A 26,461-nucleotide genomic window follows, 5' to 3' on the forward strand; every position below is an offset into this window, starting at 1 on the left:
AAATAATGTAGAGGCCTATAAGGACTTCTATTTTATGTAAACAACTAGATGTAGTAAACAATCAGTTGCAAGAGGTCATTATATCATAATCTGGACTTTGTTACTTTTCAGAAGTTTGGGGTTTTTGTTTGTTGGCTTGTGTTGTCTTGTTTTAATTTCATCGGGCTAGCATTTCATAGTAGAGTATTAAGATGGATTCTTTGACCTTTGATATGAAAAGTAGCTGAACCATCTTTTTATTGCTTGATTTGTTGGATTGGAGAATATTTTATCTATTCAGTATTAAAGATTAGCCCTAGGAAACTGGGAGCTGCTCTAAAATATGGAATTTCTAAGTCGAGTGCATTTTCTCCAGGCTAAAATAAACCTAGACACAGATATTTGATAGTGTAGAATTCCCTTAATCTTTTAGGCACAGCATCTGTATGCTCATTCACATGGACTCGTTTTACATACACTACCTACCCATGCCACCAGGATCATTTATCTGGTATGTAAAATCTGATACGTGTTTTTGTGCTAATTGAAATATTGGTTTGTTTGTTGTCAGCCTCAGATGCCTTCTCCAACAAGGCTAAAAACAATTTCAAGCAGAATATAAATAAGACGCATCTGAGGATATACCTATGCATACACAAATTTGTGTGTGGGTGGACATACATATATTCTACACAAATGCACTGAGGGAGAGAGCAAGAGTGAGTTTCTATTTTCATTCTGTCGTGCTTACGTATATTCATATGATTTCACATTGGGTATAGCTTTGGATCTGAGAAAACCAGACTATTATATGTCTGGTAACTTCACTGGAAAATCTGAAAGAATCTAAATTAGCCAGTCCTGCTGATCTTTTGGATACATGAATTCATATGTCCACTAATTTGTTTTCTTTTTGCTTTTTATTGTGGAGAGGGGAGAAATCCAAACATACACAAATATAAACAGAATAATATAAAAGAAACCTCTATGCATCGATCACCAGCTCCAGAAAATACCAACTCATTGGTCTCTGCAGCCCCATCTTCATCATCAGTCACATCTTCCCAACCCTTCTCCCACCTGTTTTTTTTGAGGCAAATCCAATAGCATATTATTTCATTTCAAAATATTTTATTATGTACTTTCCTAAGATAAAAACATAGTTTTTATATATGAGTAGAATACCAATCCCACACTAAAAAAATTCACCGTAAGTCTTAATGTCATCAGATCTCCAGTCAATGCAATTATCTAATGCATCATACATTTTTTAAGAAATCATAATTCAAATAAAATACATACATTGCTTGTCCATAGATTGATTTATCTTGAGACTTTTTAAAACATATGGGTACTCCTCTCCTTTTCTTTTTTTCTTCTTGCAGTTCATTTGTCAAACTGCAAGGGAAAAAAATGATTGTTTGTCCTGTAGCTTCTCACAGTCTAGTTTTTGCTGATTGCATCCCCACGATATAGCTTAATATGTTCTTTGGTCTCTTATTTACTGTACTTAGTAGTTAGATCTAGAAGTTTTATTATATTAGATTTTTGTGGGGTTTTCTTTTGATAAGACATTTACATATGTGGTCTTTTCTACTTAATAAAAAGCACACTATATGCTTTATCTCTTTTTGAAGTGCTAGCCATTAATGTTCAATGCCTAAATCCATTAGTTGATTAGAGATTACAAAATACTGGTATTCTTATCTTCTCATACCTTCATCATTTATTAGATGTGATATTTTTATAATAAAAATTTCCTCCTTTTTATTCTTTGGTGACCAGTAGTACAACTAGTGTAGCCAAGGGAGGTTAAACTCTTGATTCTTTTATTTACAGTTTTCAAAATTATCATTAGTTCCCTACAGTATCCCTCGGTACTCAATAATTTTTTACTATCATGAAGAACACATGGATTTAAAATTTGTTGAAGTATTTCAATCTATTGCATTTACATCATCCCTGTTGATGCTCAAATTGTCCCATCTTTGGCCTGTAAGAGGCTCTAACAGGTTGTTCTACATTCTTTTGACAGATTCATGTCCACTCTTCACTCTGTAGGGGATATGGAATCCCAGGGATTTTGGAAATTGCTGCTACCCTCTCCCTTTCACTAGGCCTACGCTTTCTGTTTCTTGCTCTTTCCGGATGTTCTGTCACATGACTTTAACTTGGAGATAGCTCCTGAAGGAGCCAGTGTTTATATGTAAATTATTGAGAAACACAAAAGTGCCAGAACACATTAGTTTTCAACAACCTGTTTTATTCTTCTCACATTTTTATGTTATCTTAGGGAACCAGCTTCACCTGGTGTTTGGAATTCTAACTTTTTGGTAGCCCCTTAGCCCCAGGTAGCAAATTGCTGTACTCTTTTTGTGTCTTCATCACTGTGTGGCTTGTGGTAGTCACTTGAATACTTGTTGAATGTATCAGTGACTGAAAGAACAAATAAACAAATAAGCTCATGATCTCTCTTTAATTTAAGGCATAAATCTATTTTAGATATGGTGCCATGAAACAGAACAATCTTAGCTGATAAGAGAGAGTTGATATTGCATGTGCAGGGTGAGAGTACATTTCTGAGTCATTTGGGAGAGGGGCTTCAATAGGAAACTGTCCCTTGAATGGAAAAGCATTCCCTGTACAGTCTTTCAGACACTAATTTTGACAAGCACCAAAGCAAGACACATGCTTTGGAGTGTTATGGGATTTTATGCCAAGAGGTTGAAATAATTTAATGGATCTGGAGAGGGTGGAGGTAGCATAGAATTATGGTTGCTTTATCCATTTTTTTCTGATCTGTTTAGGTGATTTATCTATTCTGATTTCCCTGAATTGTTTAGTGCTGAGATTTCATGGAAATAGGTGTTCTAAAAACCACTAAATATTGTTTTTTAATTACCTCACGGCCTCAAAGGAACAAGTAATCCTCATCTTCTTTTTATTGGCACTAAAATTCTCTATAACCACCAGATCCCATAAAGATCATTCTTTTTAAAGCCTTGTTTTTTACTAAGGAATGTTGATTTTCTAGATACATCACTGCAGGATGGAGTCAGGCAAAGAATAATTATTGTCATTCAAGTCAGTGTTTCATAATCTATCTGGGTGCTAAGAGCCACCCCAATTGGGAAGAGTGCATGTGTTATAATAAAATTATCTATTCACCAGACAAGGAAAGCAATAACTTTGTAGCATGTCATATGTCTGTGTTCACATATATACACAGCTGGGGAGCAATGGTAAACAGTTTCCTAAACACTCACTAAATTCATGCTTATCAAGTGTCTTATTCCTTAAACCAATAGTCTACACAGACATTTTTACTGTACTCACTCCAAAGTAAATAATTTTTGAGCATTTAACCTCAGCAAATTAGGTTGAACCATATGAAATTGACAATTTGTGGGTCAAAAATACTTGAACATTGGCAATTTCATATTTTTCAACCTTCTAATTTTATTAGTTACAAATATGTACATATGTTACCATCATCATTAATTAATATAACAAGCACAATAACTCTTTGGGTAAGGATCAATAATATATTGGGTGTAAATCTGCATTTCCAGTAGTCTCTTGGGTAATTTCTAAATCATTGAGTTAGTTCTGATGAGATCAGACCATCACAGTTTTTACTCTGATACTGTGGCTAGCTAGAAACTTGCCCTAGGAGATATGTCAGCTCTGACAGTTTCTTCTTGTGTCTAATGTGCTTGCCTTGTTACTATTTTTAGTCAATCTATGTTTTCTTTGCAGAAATCTTTTTACGCCGCTTGTCCATTTTGAGAGGGCTAATTGATAAGTTGAAACTAAATAATATAATACATATATAAACCAGTTTGACTAGACCATTTTATTCAGAATATGTTGCACAGTACTCAAAGAGAAGATTTCACATGTTGACTCTGACGTGCAGATGAATGATGGTGCCGTAGACAATTAGGATATTAGATTTTAGTAGAACTTAATTTATTTCTAATTTTTCCAGTGACACAATGGATATAAATGAAAGTTCAAACCTAGTTTGAGTTGTGCCTCCCACAGGCAGTCTTTCCATGTGGCTTGGATTTATAACAACTTGGTGGCTGGGTTCTGAGACAGAGCATCTGAAAAGCAAGCATTCCAAGAAATCAGGTGGACATCGGATAGACTTTCATGACCCAGCCTTGGAAATCACATAGTGTCACTTCCTCATCCTTAATTAATTAAAGCAATTACAATCCCATGTAGATTTAAGAGGAGGGTACATAGATATCTCTATAGAAGGAATGTCAAAGAGTTTGTGGCCACTGTTTATAAACCACCACACCACTCAATGCATAAATCCCTTAACAAATGGTCATCCACATTTACTACCTCTACTGACAAGGAGTTCATTATCACAGAATGTAAACTATTCCTTTTTTGGGACAGTATTAAGTATTAAAAATATTTTCTCAAGCGGAACAAAAATATGCTTTCTTATTACCCAGTTTTTGTTCTCCCTTCTGCCCTCCGGAACACAGCAAGTCAGCTTTCCTTTTTGCTTGGAAGTAGTTTTCAAGTGAATTGTGTTTTCTTTTGGATGTTCACACTCCTAGTTGCTTTGACTCTTTCCTATTTCTCTCATCATGTGGTTATCTTCTAAGCAGACAATACTTTATTTCTATTTCTCTTAAAGTACTACTAAATTTGAACCCATGTACCATTTAATACTGCCCCTGCAGACTGGGTTGTTAAAATACTATTTGCGTATGTAATAGTTTCTCAAAAGAATTATCTATAGAACAATTTATTAGTGCAAACTGTTAATATATAATTTTTCAGATACTCAGAGTGCCAGCATACTCTGAGCCAATGAGAGCTGATTTGGGAGACTATACCGGATGCTGTCAGGCAGCAAATGTTTGTGCCCCATATGGCAAATGTTCTCAGCCAGTGAATACTCTATTGTACCATACTCAGTTGAAAGTCTTCAGCAATGTTTGTTATGTACCCCTCAGGAGCCTTTCTTTCTGCCCTATATTTTTGTGTTCTAGTGAACTGTTTGAAACCATAATGGCCGACAAAATGTATGCAAGTGATAGTGCTGAGACTGAGGCAATGAAACCCAGGAAGAATATTCCACTGGCTATTGACATGCAGGGCTTCCAGCAGTTTGAGAAGCCTTTGATGAAAAGGTCAAAGTAACAGATGGTAAAGATCAGCAGGAAATTAGGGATTGGTATAAGTCCTTTTGACATTCTGAAGGGCATTATAAAACATCCCTGTAGGATTGCCCAACAGTTGTTTGAAAAATTCCTAGAAGAAGAAACTAAGGTTGAATTATGTCATGACTTCTAGTGATTTAACAAAAATGAAAGAGTGCCTGCCACTGTATAATGATTTAACAAAAATGAAAGAGTGCCTGCCGCTGTATAATGCCAGGAACTCATCTTTACAGGAACTATGTGCTTAGGACGCTGTGTGATGCAGATATACTAGCTACTCTTTCTTTTTCAGAAATGAGTGTCCCACACCACAATCATATTTCCATATTCTAGGTAAATTTTGATCAGAGAAGACTGAAGTAGAATTAATTTTCCTACAATATGACATTTTTCATCAACTACTTAAGGTGACTTTAGCTTTTTAAACAGCTACATAACAATGTTGACCCATCTTAAGCTTCTTCAACAAAGATCTCCATATTTTTTTCAGGTAAAAGTCTACAAAGCCCAATTCTGTTCCTCACCACCACTCTAATATGTAATCTGATCATGGTGGTAATGAGGACCATGACTAATGTTTATTGGGCACTTGCTTAGCTCCAGGCACAATTAAGTGCTTTTCACTATTTCAGGAAATCCTCACCACAAACCTATGAGGTAGTTGCTTTTATTATCCCTATCTTTTGCATGGGGAGTATTATAGAAGCTGGATAACTTGCCCAAGGTCTTATAGTTAGTAAATGGTGGAGCTGGGATCAGTGGAGCAGTTGGGATGATGTCAGATGTTGAACATGTCATTTATAATGTCAAATATCTATCCCAGGTTGGATTGTATTTGTAAACTACATGACAGCAGGATTTGATCTGAAACAGTGCTTGCTTGGTTCAGAATAAACGCTGAATGAATGAATATGTTGTAAGCCTGTTGATCCATGAATTCACTAATAAGCATCTGTGATGCAAAGCCCAATTCCTCCTGCTGCAAATCATGTCTGTCAATCTTAATGTGTACAGAAAATGTTTTTTAAAGCCATGATTTCATAATTGTAGGGTTCCAGGAAAACATCCTCTTGGGAGAGTCAGCAGCATTAAGGCATAGCAATATTTTTGTTCAGGATGCATTAGGTATCTCTGATTTTCCAATATCTTAAATGCTAGCAGCAGCTTCAGATATGAAATTACTTAGTAAGCAATTCTAATAGGAGAAACAAGATCTAAAAGAGAAACATATAAGGAATCCTACTTCTGGCTCTCAATGGAAACTGGCATGAGTCATGCTAGCTCTAAAGAAATATGGTATCCACCACTGAAATCATGCAACAAAAGAAACTTAGCTGAAATGGTTGAATTGAGCTTTCTCAAAGGCCAATTGACCTATTTTGTCCGATGGTATGTGGAAAGAAATGATATACGCTACTTCCCAGCAGAAAATTTCAGAGGCCTTATGTAATATATTGCCACATGGGGCTTTTTCTCTGTCACGAGGCCAGCAATATCCCAAATATGAGTGTTAGCCTGGGTCCCAGAGTGAAGAAGACATCTACCCAGCCCATTATGATAAAGCAGTACTAGCAAGAAATAAGCTAAGTCCTTGAGGACTTGGGATTGTTACCACAGCATGTGTAACCTAAGCTGACTAAAAAATTATAAATATTCTTGGCCGGGCGCAGTGGCTCACGCCTGTATTCCCAGCAATTTTGGAGGCCGAGGCAGGCGGATCACCTGAGGTCAGGAGTTCGAGACCATCCTGGCCAACATGGTGAAACCCCATCTCTACTAAGAAAACAAAAAATCAGCCGGGCATGGTGGCACGCACCTGTCATCCCAGCTACTTGGGGGGCTGAGACAGGAGAATCTCTTGAACTTGGGCAGTGGAGGTTGCAGTGAGCTAAGATCATGCCACTGCACTCCAGTCTGGGTGACAGAGTGAGACTCCTTCTCAAAAAAGAAAAAAAAAAAAAACTATAAATATTCTTAAGGAAATCAGGGCTGAGGGTGGAGAAACATGTTAGGCATAAGAGGAAGAACAACACCTTGCAGTCCCAGGCGCTTCCAGAGAGGCGAGAGCCTAAGCGCAGACACCACCTCCAAGGCATAGTTGGACACACTGGGTGGAAGGGCAAACACAGAGTAGATGCACAGTTCATGCTGGAACCAGATCCACAGTTGAGGGCCCAGGAATAATATGAAAGAAAACAGTATCTTCATGTGGCAGAAAGTGAATAACATTTATTTTAGCATTCATTTCATCTAATCTTATTGCTCTTCCCTATCATAACCAACCCATTCCATAAGCCCTTCCTTAGAAATACATAGCTCTCTACCATCTGTCAGTACCTTAAAATCAATCAAATACCCAGTGGATTTTTATTTTACTTATTTATTGCTTAAAAGAATAGCTTTAGATTATGCATCTCAAAGTCTGTGGCATTGAGAAGTCACTGGCCTGGAATACCCTGCCACCTGCAAAAATCAACTAACCTATCTCACTTCAATCCATTTCAAATATTTAGTTTCTAATTAGATTTCATTTGTGAAAAGGGTTCTACAACCAAAAATGCTTAAAATTACTGCTTCTGACGAGGCCACGGGCTCATTTCAACTACTTTGAAATGATTATCATCAAATTCTGTGGACTCTGTTTTGGTCTGTCCTAATCTCAACCCTTCTTTTCAGAGCATGTGGCAGAAGCAGCTTCACTACAGAGATAAATATTCATGTGCATTGCATTTTGCTCACAGGCACTGTATAAACTATATTTAGAAGTCTGAATGTTGAGATGTACTGTGTCAACATTGAAATTTAATTACTGTGATGGACTTTAAATCCATGGACCTTCTTGCACTGCGGAGTGAATATTACCTCTTGTGTTTCTTCATTCTCCTTTACATTCCTATAGAAGAGGGTTGCAATCTGCTTAACTAGAACACCCACCTGCCCTTCTCCTCCAAGTGAATGAAATGAACTCTCAGTTTTACGACTGTTTTATCTTTGTGTTGTGAAAAAGAAATATTGTCTTGCTAAACTCTTTGGACACTTCCCAATATGCACTATCTCTCTCCTACTCCTATTATCACTCATTCTGGTAATAAATGATAATGTTCATTGCTAGGATTTGTAAAGCACTGTCAAGTTAGCCCATTATTTTAAACTCAGGTTAAAGTAAGGATTTTAGATTTATGTAAGCCTGGTGCAGTTTCATTAAGAACCAAAGGCATTTTAATTTTTCTCCCTCTACCCAAGGGACTTTACACTTCTTAATGTGACATTAATCAGTGTTTTAATATTTCTTCAAAATGTATCTATTCTCTGCATGCTATTTACCGTCTTTGTCAAAGTCAGTGAACAGGAATAAAAAGTAACTACATGATATAGAAACTATGGTCTTCTTGGCCCTTGTGTAATAGCCAAGTGGATGCTGTTAAAAGTGAATCTATCCATGGTGCCTTTCCTATTTCTGTACAGGATTTTGATTTCATTTTAAATGAATGTCATAAACCCCAGGTCTGAAAACTAATAGAATTTTTGCATTTACCTACTGATCCATAACCTTTAAGTTAGACTGTGTGTCCATTTGCAGTCAGTTCGTTGGATGATGCAATGCTTTAACACTGAATGAAAAGATTTCTGCTATATTCCAGACACCAGATATGAAGGCCAGTTTGGGTGGATTATTCTTAGAATGACTTTATATTAGTCCTGATGGGTAGTACAGAATAAGCTGTAGGAGCTAGCTACAGTCCCTTAAATGAGAGGAGACAAGGAAAGAGACGTGTTTGATAACATGACACCGACTCACTTTGGGAGGTGGAAGGCTAATTAGGAGTCCAGGGATTGGCAGAACATATTGTCTGAGTCCTGGTCAGTACACAGTGAGTGTGTACACTGTTGCTGACTGGCTGGTCCCCATGGAGACATTACTGCTCGATCAGTTCTCCTCAGCGCCTGTGTGTCCAGAGCTGTGACTGTGGCTTTGAGATGCCTGGCTGACGGGCAAAGTTCTCTAGATGCTGAGAGTCCGGCGAACATGTGGAGGAGGCTGCATTCTGCTGCCCGTCCTGGCCCTGGGCAGTGTGATGCAGCATATGCTTGCACACAACGAATCAGGTCCAAATCCCACTTCTAGGCTTACTGGTTGAGTGACCTTGGGAAAATTATTTAATCTCTAAATTGGTCTCTTCATCTGTAACCTGATGTTGGTGTGAGGATTAAATATGATAATCCAGGAAAAGCATCCCGTCAAGTTCTGGGCACGTAATGGCTCTTGATAAATGGAATTTAAAAGGAGAGCCTGTCCCTCAGGCAGTTCAAATCTGATCTAATGACTTCCAATGGATCAAGAGACGTGGCATGTGGGTGGAAAAGCCTGAAGGCTGGGATTGGTGAGTGGGACGCTCAGGTTACCAACAGGTGTAGACAGGTCCTGCTACTGGCTGTGGCAGCACCAGTTCTCCATAAACATCCATCGGTTAGGATCCACCAGGCCTTGAGGAGAGTAAAGAGGGCACTAGGGGACCTATCCCTGGGAGACCTGGCATAAATCCAAAGGAGAGGAAGGTGGGAAACAGGGATGATGAACATACAGAGCACATGTTTCTTCTTTTCCATTTTTACCGGCAGCCAGTCTGCTCCTGACCAGACCAGATCTCAGCCTAGATCCCATTCCTCTTTGTACTGCATATTCCCCTAAAGACATCCTAAAAGAGAATGATAGACCCAGTGAATGCTTAGTAGCCACAGGTAGTTTTTTTGTTTGTTTGTTTAAATAGGGCCTGTCCAAAGAAATATCACTTAAAAAAAATAAAGCATTCTACCTAGTTTTTTTTTTAATGTAGCCATATCCAAATAAAGTGTATGATCCCTTCCCCACCTATCTCCTCCCTTTCATGTTTTCTTGGTTTCTGCTTTTCTACCACAGAAAACTCCAGTGTCTTTGTGCTACGTAGAACACAAGGGATGGGTGAATCAAAGTTGCTCAGAAATATAAGCTAAGGAAAAGAAGAAGTGAATTGAACTTCAAAACTAATAGCACAAAAGTAATGCACTTGATATTTGCCATGGACAGGATACTGTAAATCAGTGCGTGTGCTAATTGGCCATTTGCCTGTGTATCCTTAAATCCATTTCCCTCCCTTCCTCTACTCTGCTGTCAATCACAGGAAACACCATTTGGGGGCTCCCTTGACAACTAGCTTCTAGTAGTTTTGACAATCACGGGTACTAGCAGAAAACTGTAGGATGAGGAAAGGGGAGAAGTCACCGTATTTCTCCCTCTGCCTTGGGGAGGCATTTCCAGCAGGAAGAAGCTGTGTCTTCTGTGGCTCCACTCCCAGTAGACATCCCTTTCCTTCATGGTCCCAGCTTCTGCCAGGCAGCCACTAGGCTCCACTTGTTCCAGCCTGAGTAACTGGTTTCTGGAAATACCACATCCTAGAAGCAGTGGCTTCCTGTTCTTATATATCTTTGAATTGCCTCCTCTGTCCCTGATTAGCTTTTCAGGTCATTTATCATCTATGTAACCAATTCCAAGTATTAAATTTTCTCTGTTTAAAGCACTTAGAGTAGTTTTTATTTCCTGTGTAGATCCTGACTGATACACTGGTGATTTGAATCTATTCTGCTCAATGAATTAGTAGAATGGGAAAGTTAATGTATTTAAACAGCTATGTCTCTGTGCGGCTCTGAATAAAAACAAAAATGCATAAATAATGTACTAAGACATTTCATCACAGCAAAACACTGCTTTGGTTTCTGATATTTCATGCCATTTGCAAATATCTCCTTATTTGTTATTCTGGGGAGTTTTCATTAGGGCTAAACTATTTCACATGACAAGTACTTTTACAGCAGTTTGCAAAAATCATGCACTTTCCCAGGTTAAAAAGAATAACCCTGAACTAAATTTTACCTTCACCTTGTGCTTCCTGACATAAGTCTCATTTCTAACCAACAGACCTTCCCAGCACCCTGGTGTAAAGGAATCTACCTGGCCCACAGGACAAACGTGCCCTGACCAGCTTTCCACAATCCCCTTCTGAGCTGAAAAAAAATGTATTAAGTGGTTAAAGAATAAAACTTGGTAATTCTTATAAGAATTCAGACAATGAATGGCTTATAAAATGGGCCGTTAAAATAATTCATGTCTGAAATTCAGCATTAATATGATGCAACATGTCAGGTGGGGGAACTGACTCCTCAGAGCTCTACTCCTAACTGCTTGGCTACTTGAGTAATATTAAGAGAATCCATCTGAAAGAAAGGGAATAGAAATACTGACTTGTTCTAAGGGTAGCTTAAATAAGCTTTGCAAATAGCAAGATCCCACTACAAGCAGATGAACTGGGCATTCAGATACCTAATGAGTTAGAAAGCAATTCTTCCTTGATACCCAGCACCCCTTCATGCATCTAGTTTTTGTCCATACCAAACTTGGGAAGTAGGGATCAACAATCGTCCTTACATTCTCCCTGAGAGGTGGGAGGAGGGCTCCAGTTCTGCTCTCGTAATCCATTTTTTATTCAGCGTCACCTTCTCTTTCAATGGGCTAAGTATCCTACAAACTGGGGATGCATCTTAATTAATTCTGGCCAGGTTCAATGGCATTTAAGAGCAGGATTGGCAAGTGGCCTTGAAAATGTGCTCAGTACAGCCAAGTTGTACCCTTGAGGACCTCTATACTTAAGATGTACCTGTGTTTCTGCTCCCCATCAACTGGGATCCATAGATCTCTCTTTGTAATCAAGACCCATACTTTACTGAGGTTCTGAGCAGCTGCTCAACGTGACCACATTTCATCTGCCATTACTTTTTAGTGTCTTTTAATATGAAGGAATGCATTCATTCTGTAAGAAAAATGGGATTAGAATTTTAGGAAGGCTCTCAAATAATGCAACAATAAATTCTTCAATACCCAGTTGTCAGATGTTTCAGTAAATTGCAAATATCAGATTACTTTTTAAAAATATTTCAAACACACACTTGGAATTAAACAAGAACCATATATTAGAAAAGGAAATAAGCTTACCTTTTCTATTGTAAGACTCCAAGCACCCACATGGATCTTCATGGTGGAGATTTTAACAACACTGCTAATACTGACTTACTTCCAATCAGAGCTGAGAGAGCAAACAAAGACAAACTCTCTATGGATGTACTCATTTTTTTAAACCCATATTTAAAATTAATAATTTTCTTAGGCATTCAATGTGAATAATAAAGCTGAACTCATTTATTTAAAGTTGTAAATTTTTAAAATAGCTCTAAATTAGTTCTCTGTGATACAGGAAACCAGCATGCAGAAAGCCAGTAACTGCCTCACTGTTTCATCCCTAACTGTGGGATCTTGGGCAAGTTACTTAATTGTACTTGTGTCCATTTTCTCTGGAAAGTGCATATGATAACAGGGCTCACCTTGGTTGGTTATTATGAATATTAAAGTAGATGATTCATTTGATTATTATTCAATAAATATGCATTGAGAGTCTCCTGTGTAACATACATGGAGCTTGCCCTGTTGAACTTATGGTTTGGAAAAAGAAATAGAAATTAATCAAAGAATAATATAAATAAGTGTAATTATAGCTAGATAAAAGCTACTAAAGGAAGATATTTGATGCTCTAAGAATACATGACAGGAGACTGCACTTAATCTGTGATGATAAAGGTTAGGAAAGGTTCCCTAAAGAAATACAAAGGAGATATGAAAGATTGGTAAGAGTTAACCAGGCTGTGTGCGTATGTGTGTGTGTGTGTGTGTCTCTGTGTGTATGTGTGTGTAGGGGCTGGAGTGGACATTTCAGGCAAAGGGAATAGCTGGCATATATACCCAGGTTTCCTCTGGAAATTCACCACCCTGAGGCAACCACTGTTAGCCTCCCTTCCAGTTATGTTTATCTTTTATTTTCAGCTAAATAAATTTTATTTTGATTCAAAAGTCTGGGGAATTACTTTGACATTAGGTGTGTGTGTGGTGGAGGGTCCTCTGATGATGTGCCTGTATTTTTTCCAGAGAGCCCAGGGCAAGTGTGTATGATGCAGATTTATCCTGGACATACATCATGGGCACATATTATCATTCATTCAGAAAATATTTATATATTTATCAGGCACCTGCTTCATGCCTTGCATTACCCTAAACACTGAGGATAAAGATGAATAAGACACAGGCTCTGTCTAGGACTTTAACCCTCAGTTGAGTGAGGGAAAGAGATAAGAAGACACATATTTGTATTATGCCACATCAGAGTTGTGTATGTGAGGTAATAAATTCTTGTAGCATGGAAAATGGCCTGGCTGCCTCTACCTGGGAGGGCCATGAAGACTACACAGAGGAGGTCATATGTGAGCAGAATTTAAAGGAAGCCTAAGAAGGACGTTCCAGAAGAACATGTACTAGGGCACCTCATCTATGTCCCTAGGACCTAGAAGAAGAGTGCCTGGCATGTCATACCTCAATAATAAATATCTATCTAATTTACAATTGGCACGGAAAGAAGTTCTGTGAGTTATTCTGAGTGGATCAAACATAGCATGCAAGTAAAGGGTCAACCTGCAGAGAAGTGGCCAGAAATGTAAAGAGAGATAAAATTGTGAAGATGTTCTTATGTAAGGTGAAGAATCCCAGATTTGATTCCCTAGTTTAAGTGATGGAAAGCAACTGAAGCCTTTTAATCAAGGAGAATGACATAATCAGCTTTGCTTTATAGAAAACTCACTGTGTCAGCAGTTTAGGGGATGGAAAAGTGGGAGAAAAGACTTAAGCCAGAGAGATCGTCAAGAAGAGATTATACTTGTCCAGAACAGAGATGATGAGGTTTGGAGGGAAGGAAGATGGAAAGAATGCATTTCAGAAACATTTTGAAGTAAAATCCATCAAGAATACATGGGATTAAGGAAGAACAAAGAGACGGGGTGATGAAGAAATGTTTCTGGCCTACATGACTGCTGACACCATTCATTGAGATGGGAATACAGAAATGAGAAAAGGGTTGAGAAAATGCAAGATCACTTTGGGGCATGGTATGGATAAGGTGCATGGGTGTATGCATGAGGGAACTGTCCTGATGGAGAGACCACTGGGCGTCTTATACAGATTTGGGAATCATAAAATTGCTTCCCAGGAGAAAACAGAGAAGAGAAGGCACCCAGAAAGCATTTGGAGCCCCTGACCCTGGCTCTATCACCGCCCACTCCTCTTCACCTCAGACTTCCTGGTCACTCCTTCCTACTCACTGAGGGCCCTGTGGACTGGCTCACATTTCCCCACTGCCCAAATTCCTGCTCTTGCTCAGCCGTTCTCCCTTGACAAACTAGCTATCATATCAGGTATTGACCTTTTCAGGACAAGAAAACCAGAATAAATGCCAAGAGACATCTTGCCTTCTCTAGCATAGCATTTGGGGACGCAGAGGAGAGGATGTGTGCCTTACATAACTTGGAATGGTGGGGAGTGAAAAATCTTACAGAGAAGCCAAAGACTATTTTATACAAATCCACTTTTAAAAGGGGAATTCTTTTCCACATACAAAGAACCAGAAATACTCATTTTGTCCTCCTTTTTTTTTTGTTTAATGTATATGCACTCACAGTTGCTAAGAATTAATACTGAAAACATGATTTTTTCTAAATAACTCCTTGAGAAGGCACTTAAAGCCTCCATTTGTTATCCAAATGTAACATGAGGACAAGAACAGAAGAATTATTTCATAAAGAAAATAATCAATGAATCATTTATCAGTTTTCCTACCCTTTGTATGACAAATTGTAATTAGTATGATGTCTTTGTTGGCAAGTGCTTATCAAACAAAATGCAGTACAGAAGCAAAGGAAGATTCTGTAAAGAACTGTGTTGTTTTGAAGACCTAATTGTGATGTTATCTCTGGAATTTTCTGTGATTACATTGTTAATTTTTAATCTGGTATCCTTAATAGCAACAAGGTTATTAGCACCTACCTAGAGTTCTGAATGCCCACATTAGATAACACAATCTTGGCATGGTGAACCCTTGGAAATAAGCATTTGCCTAAGATAGAAAAGAGATTCAGAAAGCTCTGATGGCCTTGGACAGGGCAGAATTTTGAGAAATTGAATGTGGCAGAATAAAAAGAGGTTTTATCAAGCATCTTTCTAAAGTGCTTTCATAAATTTTCTCTTTGGTAAAGAATGTACCACACCCGATCAAGAGTGTTAGAATTGCTTCTCAGACACTTTATCTGAAATTCTTTACTCTACTTTCCCCAAAGTTTGTTTTCACTCCAATAATTAATTTTTGAGTGCCTACTCCTTGTGATACTTGTTGGAAAATCAAAGATAAATGGGACCCAGTCTCTGCTTTCAAAGCACTCACACTGGCATCTAGTGGGAACACAGGCCTGTAAACAAATGGTTTCAGTATGATGTAAGAAGCATACTGATGTGGCGATCATAGGAACAGGGATGGCAGAGGAGGGAGACCTACTCATTTGAAATAAGCCACCTACTCATTAATAGAATCTCTGAGGATTACTACGATTCCCACAGAGCCCATCACAAGTAGCATGAGAAAGACCCCAGGGTGGAAGGGGGCCCTTGTGCTGCCCCTTCTCCCCTTATTTAGTCAGCATGGAGCCCCTGGACTGGCTTTGAACATGGCTCTGAACAGGGCTTAGGGGATAACTTTCAGTGACTGCTGAAATCCAGTCATATGACTATGTGATTTTAGTCATGGCTCGTGGAAATAAATATGCTTTTTTTAGGAGTATAAACGTAAAAAATACTAACAAAAAATGAAGCTATTTCTACATATCCAGAACTATTTTTTTTAGAGACATAGCAGTCTCATCAGTCAATATTACAAATATGACATTCTTTTATTTCCATCTGCAAAATTGTTCATGAATAAACAGAAAAGAAGAATACACCTCATCTACCCAACTCTTTAAAGGTTATAGCCTGCTCTTAGAAACATGTTTGTCCCTTATCTCAATACCTATATTGACTTTCAATACCTTCTAAAGAACCAAAGGTCTCTAATACCCTCTTGTTCCTCTGTTTTCAGAGGATGTGTGTTAACAAATTTAACTGTGTAATAAGTTATTCTTAATTACATTCGGATATTTTCTCCTCCTAAAGGAAAACTAAATAACAATAGATAAATAGATGGATGGATGAATGGATGCATAGATTAGCTAGCTAGCTAGCTAGGTGATAGAATAGATAGATGTAGATAGATAAATACATAGACAATAGATAAAGCTGCTCCTTTGGGCTCTTTAACCTCTTTGATCATCTTTCAATAAACTATGTTACCACTTAATTAGCCTGAATGAGTACCTATTGCAATGCTGATTCTTGATTTTATTTATGTGACCACTCAACAGATATGTCTAGATATATAAGAGAATATAATACACCATTCCTCATCTGTCTACAGCCTTTCCAAGGAGGTAATTGATCATAGTATAGATAGTGTTGCACTGTATCCCACATCCTGTTTTCCCTATTATTAGCATTTTACATTAATATTTTTCATTTGTCACATTGATACATTACATTATTATTAACCAAAGTTCAAATTTCATTGAAATTGTCTTAGTTTTTCAAAAAAAGGAGAGCTGTTTTGCCAGGTATGTCCTGCAGACCCTGGCCGAGCAATGGATGAAAGGGGTACTCAGACACAGGTATACAGTGTAAGAGCAGCTAGGGGACTGCTGAAGAGTGAACAGTCTCGATAAGCTGGGGCTCCTTGCTTTTGTTTAGTACAGACATAATGCCGAAAGCCTGAAGCCAACACAATCTGTGGGTAATTAACATTATTGTTCCTCCTTTCAGGGAGCAGTCTTGTGCTGGCATGGTCAAAGGTCAGTTCCTGGTTAACATAAGTAAACAAGCCTGTTTACGCTAAATTCCCCTACACTTCCTTGTACCTACTCCTTGCCCTCTGCCTCAGGGTAAGAGAACAGCTGCCCTCAGCTTATTCTCCCCCAAAGCTATGCAGAGCCTTCTGACCTTTCAGAAGGTTTGCACCCTTTCCCTGTAATTTCTCCCACCACTCTGACTGATCTCCTGCAATGTTTAACTGGTGTTATATTCTAAGCTTAATCGATTGCACACTTAAAATGTTCAGAAAACACTCAGGATAGTGGACAAGAATCATTTCAAGTCCCTGAAACCTCAAAGTCTTTAGCATATACTAACCTTCAGGTCTACATACTGATGTGTAATTTTCAATGCACTGTCAATAACTATCAATAACATCATACACACGCACACACACACACACACGGCCATTTTGGATTTGATTTTTACATTGCAGTTACATATATAAAAGTGAAGTTATAGATTTTAAACATTTGCATATTTCTTAAACTTTCTTTTTAAGGATATATAGATTTGATCTCTCTTTTACCCTCCCCACCAAATAATGGCCCACTTGACTTAGGGCAATGGGGGTGTCCTGTAGTTGTTTATTATGAAGAAGTTGTTCTCAGGCCTGGAGACATGATTAGAACCAGCTGGGGAAATTGCTTTTGAGTAGCAGTGACTGAGTTTTACTCAGGGGATGCAGCTTTAATTGATCTGTGCAGTCCCCTCATCCCATCTTTTTATAAGCTCCCCAGGTGACTATAATGCGCGGCCAAGGCTGGGAACCACTGCATTGGAAAATGCAGAATTTATCTCTTTAATTCAGACAAACATATGAAATGTGGACCTTGTGTATTAACATGAAGCCTGGAAGACTGCTAGAAAACTCTTCGACCTCCTGCTTTAGCTTTGTTTCCCCTTTGCACTCAAGCAGAATTAATTACTTCCTACCTAATAACGTAGTCATGCCTCTTTTATTTTACTTATCATGTAGAATTATAATTATTTTTTCAGTGCCTGTCTCTCCAGTTAGACAGTTGGTTTCCGAGGCCGAGATCATGTCTTGTTTATGTGAAATAGCCTCAGCTTTTAACACAATTCTGGCACATAGTAGTTGCTCAATAGGTATCCTAGAAAGGGAAGGTGAGCATAAATCAGAAAAAAGATATAAAGTGTAGTTTAGTATTAACTGAAAATAATTTCTTCTTGGATAAGCACTCACTTCTAACTACAGGAAATGTAATGTAGACAAATTTGTATTTTCTTGTATTCTGATCTTCGTCAGAAATAATGGCAGCTATCAATTTTTTTATTTAAAGAATTTAACCCAGCATCTCATTTCGGGAAATAAAGCAACATATATTGAGGTAGGGATTGCTAACAAGTGAATGGCTAGTTCTGTTAAGCCATAATAAAATTGAAATAATATCAGCCTGGGACTTTTCTCTACATTTCCTATGTCAGAACATTTGCAGTAACTGTTGCTATCAATGGATCATACTCTTGACCAGCTGGGATTGTCTGAGTTTCCACACACAAAGAGATGGATGGGATGCTATTAGTTAGTCTCTTTAGACCTGAATTCAATTTTGATTGAACATGTTTATACTTGTGAGCTTATAATTATCCTTGAGTTCATTTTAAGAGATGGTTTTAAAGATTTCTTTTTTCCCTTCTCACTAACTACTGCTGTGTTTTCAGAGAGATTTACTAGCATAAAAGATTTCTGGGGACATTCATAAAAGGGAAGAAAATCCATAGTTTAGTCTGAGTCTAAAAGCATAAACCAGAGGGGATGCCAGGCATCTTTCTACTGAGTAGCTTCCCCGTTGATCAATGTTAGGAAGCTTGCTAATGACACTCTCATCCAGAACTTTTGGAGAGTAGGGAGAAACTAACAAAATAACAGAGAGCCGAGGAATTCCACTTTTACTAATCATTCATTTTGAATAATCTCACTTATTTACTCAGTAAATATATGTTGCTTGCTTACCATATATTTATTTCAGTAAGTATATGTCGCTTGCTGGGTCCTGGTAATGACAGTGGTGAGTTTCCTTCCCTTGTTAGTGGGATCTACAGCCACCTATAACTTAAGATTCTCCCCCACACAGCCCAGACATACACACAACGCTAAGATCTGAATGCCTGTGCCCCCAAAAATTCATAAGTTGAAATCCTAACCCCCAAGGTGATGTGAAAAATGTACCAAACCCTGTCCAGAATTTTGGAATCGCCTCCCAGATACTTTATCTAGAGACTCTTTGTTCTACTTCCCCACAAGTTTTTCATTCCAGTATTTAATCATTGAGTGTTTCTGCTTGTGATACTTGTTGCAAAGTCAATGATAGTCAAAGAAGTTCAAAAATTGGTTACTTTGGACTTAACAAGCAAATGCACTTCTAGGTGGCTTTTGAAAACCAAAAGTACACCTAAGTAGAGAGCTTCTGTTTTTTATAGTGATTATATGAAGAGTAATGGGTGAAAAGCATCAAAGCTGGAATTGGAGCTCTGGGGTCTACACCGTTTCCAATGAATCATTCCTAATGTGATGCTTTCATCCATGCTCTTGGCTCTGTCTGGGATGTCTCCTCTCCGCCAGGCCCTGATTTCAGTCATCCAGGCCGAGTTTAATTATGTATAACTGTCTTCGTTTATTTGGGGCACTAAAACAAAAATAACAAAAATACTATAGACTGGGTGTCCTAAACACCAAAAGTTTATTACTCACAGTTCTGCAGGCCGGGAATACCAAGATTAGGTTATCTGCAGATTCTCTGGTGAGGACCTGCTTCTTAGTTCACAGACAGCATCTTCTTGCTGTGCCCTTCCATGGTATAAGGGGTAAGAGAGCTCCCTGAGATCTCTTTTAGAAGGGCACTAATCCTATTCATGAGGGCTCCACTCTCACAGCCTAATGACCTCCCAAAGGGCCCAGCTCCAAACACCATCACGACAACATATGAATTTGTGGGAGATATAAACATTCAGCCTATAGCCATAACCAGATGTTTTTGCAACCAAGATGGTGAATTCTTCCTGAGCACGTGCCAGTCAGACTCCAGGAGAGCAGGGATCCCATGCACTTATGTACTTCCATCCATCTCACAGCCTCCATCGCTTTCAGAAGGTTGAGCTGCCCCCAGGTACCAAAGCAAGGACTGGAATATAGCTGAGAGATAGAAATGTTTTGCAAAATGTTGCTTACAGATTCAGAACTTAAACTGATTTCGATCTCTTGGGAAAGAAATATGAATTCTAATCTGATTTCAATCTCTCTGGAACAAAAAACCTTTTGTATCTATCTTTCTTCAATGATGGGAAAAAGTAAAATACCTTCCAAGCCTCCACTAATCCTTCTACTGATGTCTTCTATATTCGTGATTCAGATGTGCCTTGTAGACAAGCACAGATCTTCACTGCTCACTTCTGCCATAAATGCTTCACAAATTAAAAAAAAAAAAATGGTAAGCCTCCGTTAGACAGAAAGAAAATGATTCTTTTCACTGTGTTTAAGAGGACTGATTAGGGCATTTCTTCAGTAGTACCAATGTCTACCATATGCTTCTTCCTAAACTTATATAAAAATAAATTTCTGACAAAAATATGTAAAATCTAAACATGTCTAACTAATTCTCACTGCATTTCTATGCTTTTCATGGAAAGAGAAAATAACGATGAAACTTAAGAGTATTGAAATATTTATTTTTCAAAAGTAATCTACTTTATTAATATTATTTGCTTCTTTTTTCATGGTTGTAGGTTCATTGCATTGCTTTTTTCTTACAGACATTTTGATAATTGTTGATTTTCATAAGTTTGATAGAAGAATGCCATTAATACTTCTCATTTATTTTTCATTATCTGTTCACATTAAAATAAATTCTCTCTTGTAATTTTCTTATGTATACAAATAATTGGAATATTTATGTAAGATTTTGTGTTTTTTTTTTAGTTTTAGAGTATGAGGTTATTATAAGGGAACTGTTGTAGATTAAACTTTTTTAATTATACTTTAAGTTCTGGGATACATATGCAGAACGTGCAGGTTTGTTACCTAAGTATACATGTGGCATGGTGGTTTTCTGCACCCATCCACCCATTATCTAGGTTTTAAGCCCCACATGCATTAGGTATTTGTCCCAATGCTCTCCCTCCCCTTGCCCCCCACCCTCCGACAGGCCCCAGTGTGTGATGTTCCCCGTGTCCATGTGTTCTTATTGTTCAACTCCCCCTTATGAGTGAGAACATGCGGTGTTTGGTTTTCTGTTCCTGTGAGATTAAATATTTCATGATGAAAGGAGCAAAGTGCTGTGTCTACATGTGAAAAATCAAGTTTAATTCAATCTAGATGGATGAAATACCTGGAATATCCAAGTAATTCTAGTAAAATTCGTTGTTTGATTATTTTATTCCTCCCACTACCGTATCGTGTGTGTGTGTGTGTGTGTGTGTGTGTGTGTGTGTGTGTGTGTGTAATGTTGCTCAGAAAATATAGATAAATACTTCCATTCTCCATCACAATTTATTGTTTTGGGTGATGCATATCAATGAGGTTATGATTATTCACACACAATTTTCAGAATATACAATTTTATATCCTATGTGCTGTGTTTGTTCTCTGCAGCTGGGAAACTGACCTGGTGAGAAGAAAAATAGGTAGCCCTTAAAATCTATTTTAGAACAAAAGTTATTTTAAGATAGATGTTACGGACTGAATGTTTGTGTACCCTTAACATTCTTATATTAAAATCTTGCCTCCCTACTGTGGTAGTATCAGGAAGTGAGGCCTTTGGGAGGTAATTAGGATTGGAAGAGTTCATGAGCGTGGGGTCCTCACGATTGGGATTAGTGCCTCTAGAGTCATGAGAGAGCTTGCTTCCCCTCTCTGCTCTCCACCATGTGAGGATACAATAAGAGTCACAGTCTATACACAGAAGAGGGCTCTCACCAGGACTCAACCATGTAGGCACCGTCATCTCAGACTTCCAGCCTCCAGAACTGTGGAAAATGAGTTTCTGTTGTTTCTAAGTCACCCAGTTTATGGTATTTTATTATAGCAACCCAAATTGACTAAGAAAGTTAGACTAGTCTGGAAATGGGACCGCCTTCACCTTTCCCAAGTGAAAAGTCAAATTTCAACCCCACCCCTATTATTCACTCCATCCAGCCTTCACTGAGTACTTACATTGTGCTGGGGACTAGGGACACAAGAACTGATAAGACAGGACCCTGCTCATTGTCCTCTGCTCATTCCCCTCCAAAAAAGTCTAGGATCTGAATGCATGCCAGTCTCCACCTCATCCAGTGTATAAATCTATTCCAACCCTGTGGTTATGTCACTGTGCTGAGAGTGCATTGTGCTATGTCTTGAAGACGTCTGTCTTGTACGTTTTAAAACATGTCAAGGTTATTATAAAATAAATGCATCAAAGCAATACTTTTGCCAGCTTTCAACTTATGAATATGGATTGGCTTTAATAACTAGATTAGGACACTACTTCAGAAGCCATTTATCTAATGTATTTTTCCAAATGTTATTTCATCAAAAAATTTCCTGGAAATGAACAAGATATATTGAGGCCAAGATGCCACCTAAAAAATATTCCCTTTTGGTGGGGCATGGTCACTCACGCCTGTAATCCCAACAGTTTGGGAGGCTGAGGTGGGTGGATGGCTTTAGCCCAGAGTTTGAGACCAGCCTGGGCAACATGGTGAGGTAAGACTCCATCTCTACAAAAATAAATAAATAAATACAAAAATTAGCCAGGCATGGTGGTGCTTGCCTGTAGTCCCAGATACTCAGGAGGCTAAGGTGAAAGGATCATTTGACCTGGGAAGTGGAGGTTTACAGTGAGCTGAGATCATGCCACTGCACTCCAGTCAGGGCTATAGAGCAAGATTCTGTCAAAAACAAAGAAGGAAGGAAGGAAGGAAGAAAGGAAGGAAAGTATTCTATTTCAGGAAAATAGCAAACTAAATTTCACTAATTTTTGTTATTTTTGCTCTTTATTTTCTAGTATTTTTTGGAATGTAACTGGATAAGTTAAATGAAATGAGTAATGTAATTTGATGGAAGTATGTAGTTATTTTCAGATGAATAAAGGAATTAGGACTTGGGTCTTGGTTTCCAAAAAGAGAAAATTAAAGGGTAAAACTACATAAATCATTAGCTCCGGAAGTAAAGGAATTTATTTTTCAAAGTTGAAAGAGAGGATTAAAGAAGAGGAAATTAAATTGAAGGATAAAGAAAGAAAATTTAAACCTATAGAACTCCTACCAAGTGCTGGCCTGAAGCTAAATTCCAAGTTCTATGCTGTATTTCATTAACCCTCACAACAACCTAATGAGGTAGGGATAATAATTCGCATTTACAAGGAGTAAACAACCAGTCAGTGGCCAAGCCAGGGTTCAAAGGTAGATTTCCTGAAGGAAACCATTTGGAATCAGCGATCTAGAGACTAAGAAGGGGGAAGAAGCCTTTTGCACTGGAATGAGTAAGGAATGGGAAAGGAGATAAAGAGACTAGCACAGGCAGTGCTGAACATGACCAGTTGAGAGCAAGGAAAGGAGAGATTTCAAAGCAGTTAAGAGGAAGTCCTGCTAGAAGTAGACAGAGCAAAATCCAATACTGGGTCCTGGATGGCGAGGAAGGTATCCTTCTAACCAAATGAATGAAAACGTAGCAAATGCAGACAAGTTCAAGGAAGGAGGGGAAGACTGGGAGGAAGACATTTAGAGACTCTGAAATAGTCTCTAATTGCTTTGCAAAGTAAGGGATGAGATCACCATGTGAGTGAGGGAGGATGTTAATGGGACTTCAAGAATAAAGAAAAAGATTTGACAAAACTGAGAGGCCTAACTACAGACAGCTTGGTTAAGGATTGCATGTACACATAGGAATGAGTTTCAGTGTGCAAGTCTGACAGGGTAGGTTCACCTGAGTTACGAATGGGGAATGTGTCAGTGGGGAGGCAGAACTGGTGATGTGGAGAGAGGAGAAAAGGGTCAAGAACGTGTGTTCATGCGCGCACGTGTGTGTGTGCGTGTGCATGTGCGTGTGCCTGTGCATGTAGAAGAAGATCATAAGTGAGTGTGGGTGGGTGAAAAAAGTGTTTAAGTGGATCAGTCTAAGGAGGGACCAGGAAGGGGAATGGGGAATAGGAGCAGGAAAGGCAGAAAAGTAAGCTTGAGAACTCCCAAACCGTTTTGTTTGTAATTTGTTAGTACAGTATAATAATACTAAATAATAGATTTGTAATTCTAAGTTGTAAGACAAAGAAAATATGCTCGTTAAAAAAAAATCTTAAATTTGATAGCAAGTTAGGGATTGATTTCTGAAAAACAGCCCCCAAAGCACAAACAGTAAGAGAAAAGATGGATGCATTTGATTACTTTTACTAATTTATTTTTAATTTTATTAATTAATAAATTAATGTATTGGTTTTTTAATTTAACCAATTTGATTAATTGATTAATTTTAAGTTAAAATGCAATGTTTCTGAGATAAAAAGCAAACACACAAGCCACAGTAGGAGGAAATAATTATAACACATACAAACAAGAGTAGCATAAAGCACACCTAAAAAAAAAATTAAAGAAAAGACAAACGATCCATTGCAAAAAAATATGCAATAACCTGAAGAGGCATTTCACAGAAGAAGAAACATGAATAGCTAATAAACATCTGAAAAGATTATCAACCTCATTAGTAATCAGAGCAATGCAAATTCAAAGCAAAATTAAATATCACTTTACACTCACCAGATTGGCAAAAATTTTAGTCTGAAAATATAAGTACTACTGAAGACGAAGAGCAGCAGGAGCTCTTATATGCTGTCGATAGGAGTATAAATTGGTCCCAATCCCTTGGAAAACAATTTGGAATTACCTTGTAGTTGAACATTTGCTTACCTTTCTACCTAACAATTCTACTCCTAGATATTTCCCTAGAGAAGCACTAGTACAGGTGTGTGAATGTTTACAGAGGTAATGTTTGCAAAAGGAAAAGGAAAACTGGAATCATCTCAAATATCCATTGACAGAAGGGTGGCTAAATAAATTGTTATGAATGCATAAATGGATTTTACTATGGTAGTAAAAAAATGAATGAACTGCAGCCATAAGCATTAACAGAGATGGATCTCACAAACAAAATATTGAATGAAAAAGACAAATCACAGGAATACATACAAAATGATGCCGTTTATGTAAAGGTGAAAAACTCACAAAACCAAATATTTTGTTCATGGACACGTACATGCACAGTAAAATGACGTTGAAAAATATTGAATAATCCAAAAACTAAAATAACAGTTACTCCTGCCAGGGAGAAAGAGGATTGGAATGTGTCTGAATGGACAATGCTCTGTCTGTTTTATTTACTCATTTTTAAATTTTTTTAGAGATGAAGTCTCACTCTGTCACCCAGGCTAGAGTGCAGTGGCACAATCACAGCTCACTACAGCCTGGAACTCCTGAGCTCAGGCAGTCCTTCCACCTCAGTCCCCTGATTAGCTGGGACTACAGGCACAGCTAATGCTCTATTTCTTAAGCTTGGTCGTTTATTATTCTATGGGCCTATGAACACATTACCTATAGTCCTTCATATATATGAAATATTTCATAATAAATGCAAATCAAGGCAAAAATTAAAAGGGGAATGAAAAGCCAAGTATATAGAAGAAAATTTGGTGTTGGTCTAAAACATAACACATTTAGTTTAAATATATAAATCTTGTGACCTTCACTCTGAACTACATACAGAATTGGCTGGGCCTTGCAAAGTCGCAGTCCTTTGAAAGAATGGTTGAATATTTGAAAAATGGGAAAAAAAATAAAGTTAGTGTTTCATTTTTAATAGGTAAGAAGTACTTTATTATAATGAATCTGTCAGTTTAACCTCTGTACATAAAGAACACAAGATTACCAAAACAATGCAGTTATCTCTAGAATATGTTCTGTGAAACACCAGACGTTAAAGGTTCTGTAATCAAATGTGTTCAGGAATGCAAGATACTATACCCCCTCTTAGAAATTCGTAAGTAAGCACCTAATATGGCTGCTAGATTATTTTTTCCATCTTGAAAATTCAAATATTAATGAAAACTTAAGTATTCTCTATGAGAGATGTAGAGAATCTATAAATGAAATCTCTTGCAAGGTCTAAGAAAATCCTGCCTCAAATGACATCTCTGACAATGTTCATCTCATTCTTTGGCTCTTTTCCCTCTGCTCACACCTCAAATGTTAGTGTTCCTTAGGCTCATTCCTGTTCCTCTTCTCTTCTCAATCTCTTTGCCTCCTCTGCAATCTATAATCTGATCATTTCAAGATCTCTCTATTCAGACCTCACTTTTCCAGACTCATACTCTAAATTCATATTGGAATTTCTCAAGCTATGATCCCACAGACATTTCAGATTTAACACATCCAAACCAGACTCTGT

The 26,461-nt window shown here is 37.9% G+C and overlaps 1 protein-coding gene and 2 long non-coding RNA genes across 13 annotated transcripts in view; 1 reads left to right on the plus strand and 2 right to left on the minus strand.

Annotated features, from left to right (window-relative positions):
• Positions 1–26,461, plus strand: part of ST6GALNAC3 (ST6 N-acetylgalactosaminide alpha-2,6-sialyltransferase 3) — a 562,594-nt gene that overhangs the window by 503,528 nt on the left and 32,605 nt on the right. The window lies entirely within an intron of this gene.
• Positions 9,805–11,943, minus strand: LOC105378807 (uncharacterized). The gene is made up of 3 exons (XR_001738108.2): positions 11,861–11,943; positions 11,158–11,210; positions 9,805–9,868 (listed from the first exon to the last, which is right to left on the minus strand). It is a non-coding gene; the product is annotated as an uncharacterized LOC105378807 (long non-coding RNA).
• On the minus strand, positions 11,936–24,862 carry LOC124904201 (uncharacterized). The gene is made up of 3 exons (XR_007066175.1): positions 24,778–24,862; positions 12,196–12,286; positions 11,936–12,013 (listed from the first exon to the last, which is right to left on the minus strand). It is a non-coding gene; the product is annotated as an uncharacterized LOC124904201 (long non-coding RNA).

Source organism: Homo sapiens, chromosome 1, assembly GCF_000001405.40.
Source record: "Homo sapiens chromosome 1, GRCh38.p14 Primary Assembly".
NCBI classification, from domain to species: Eukaryota; Metazoa; Chordata; class Mammalia; order Primates; family Hominidae; genus Homo; species Homo sapiens.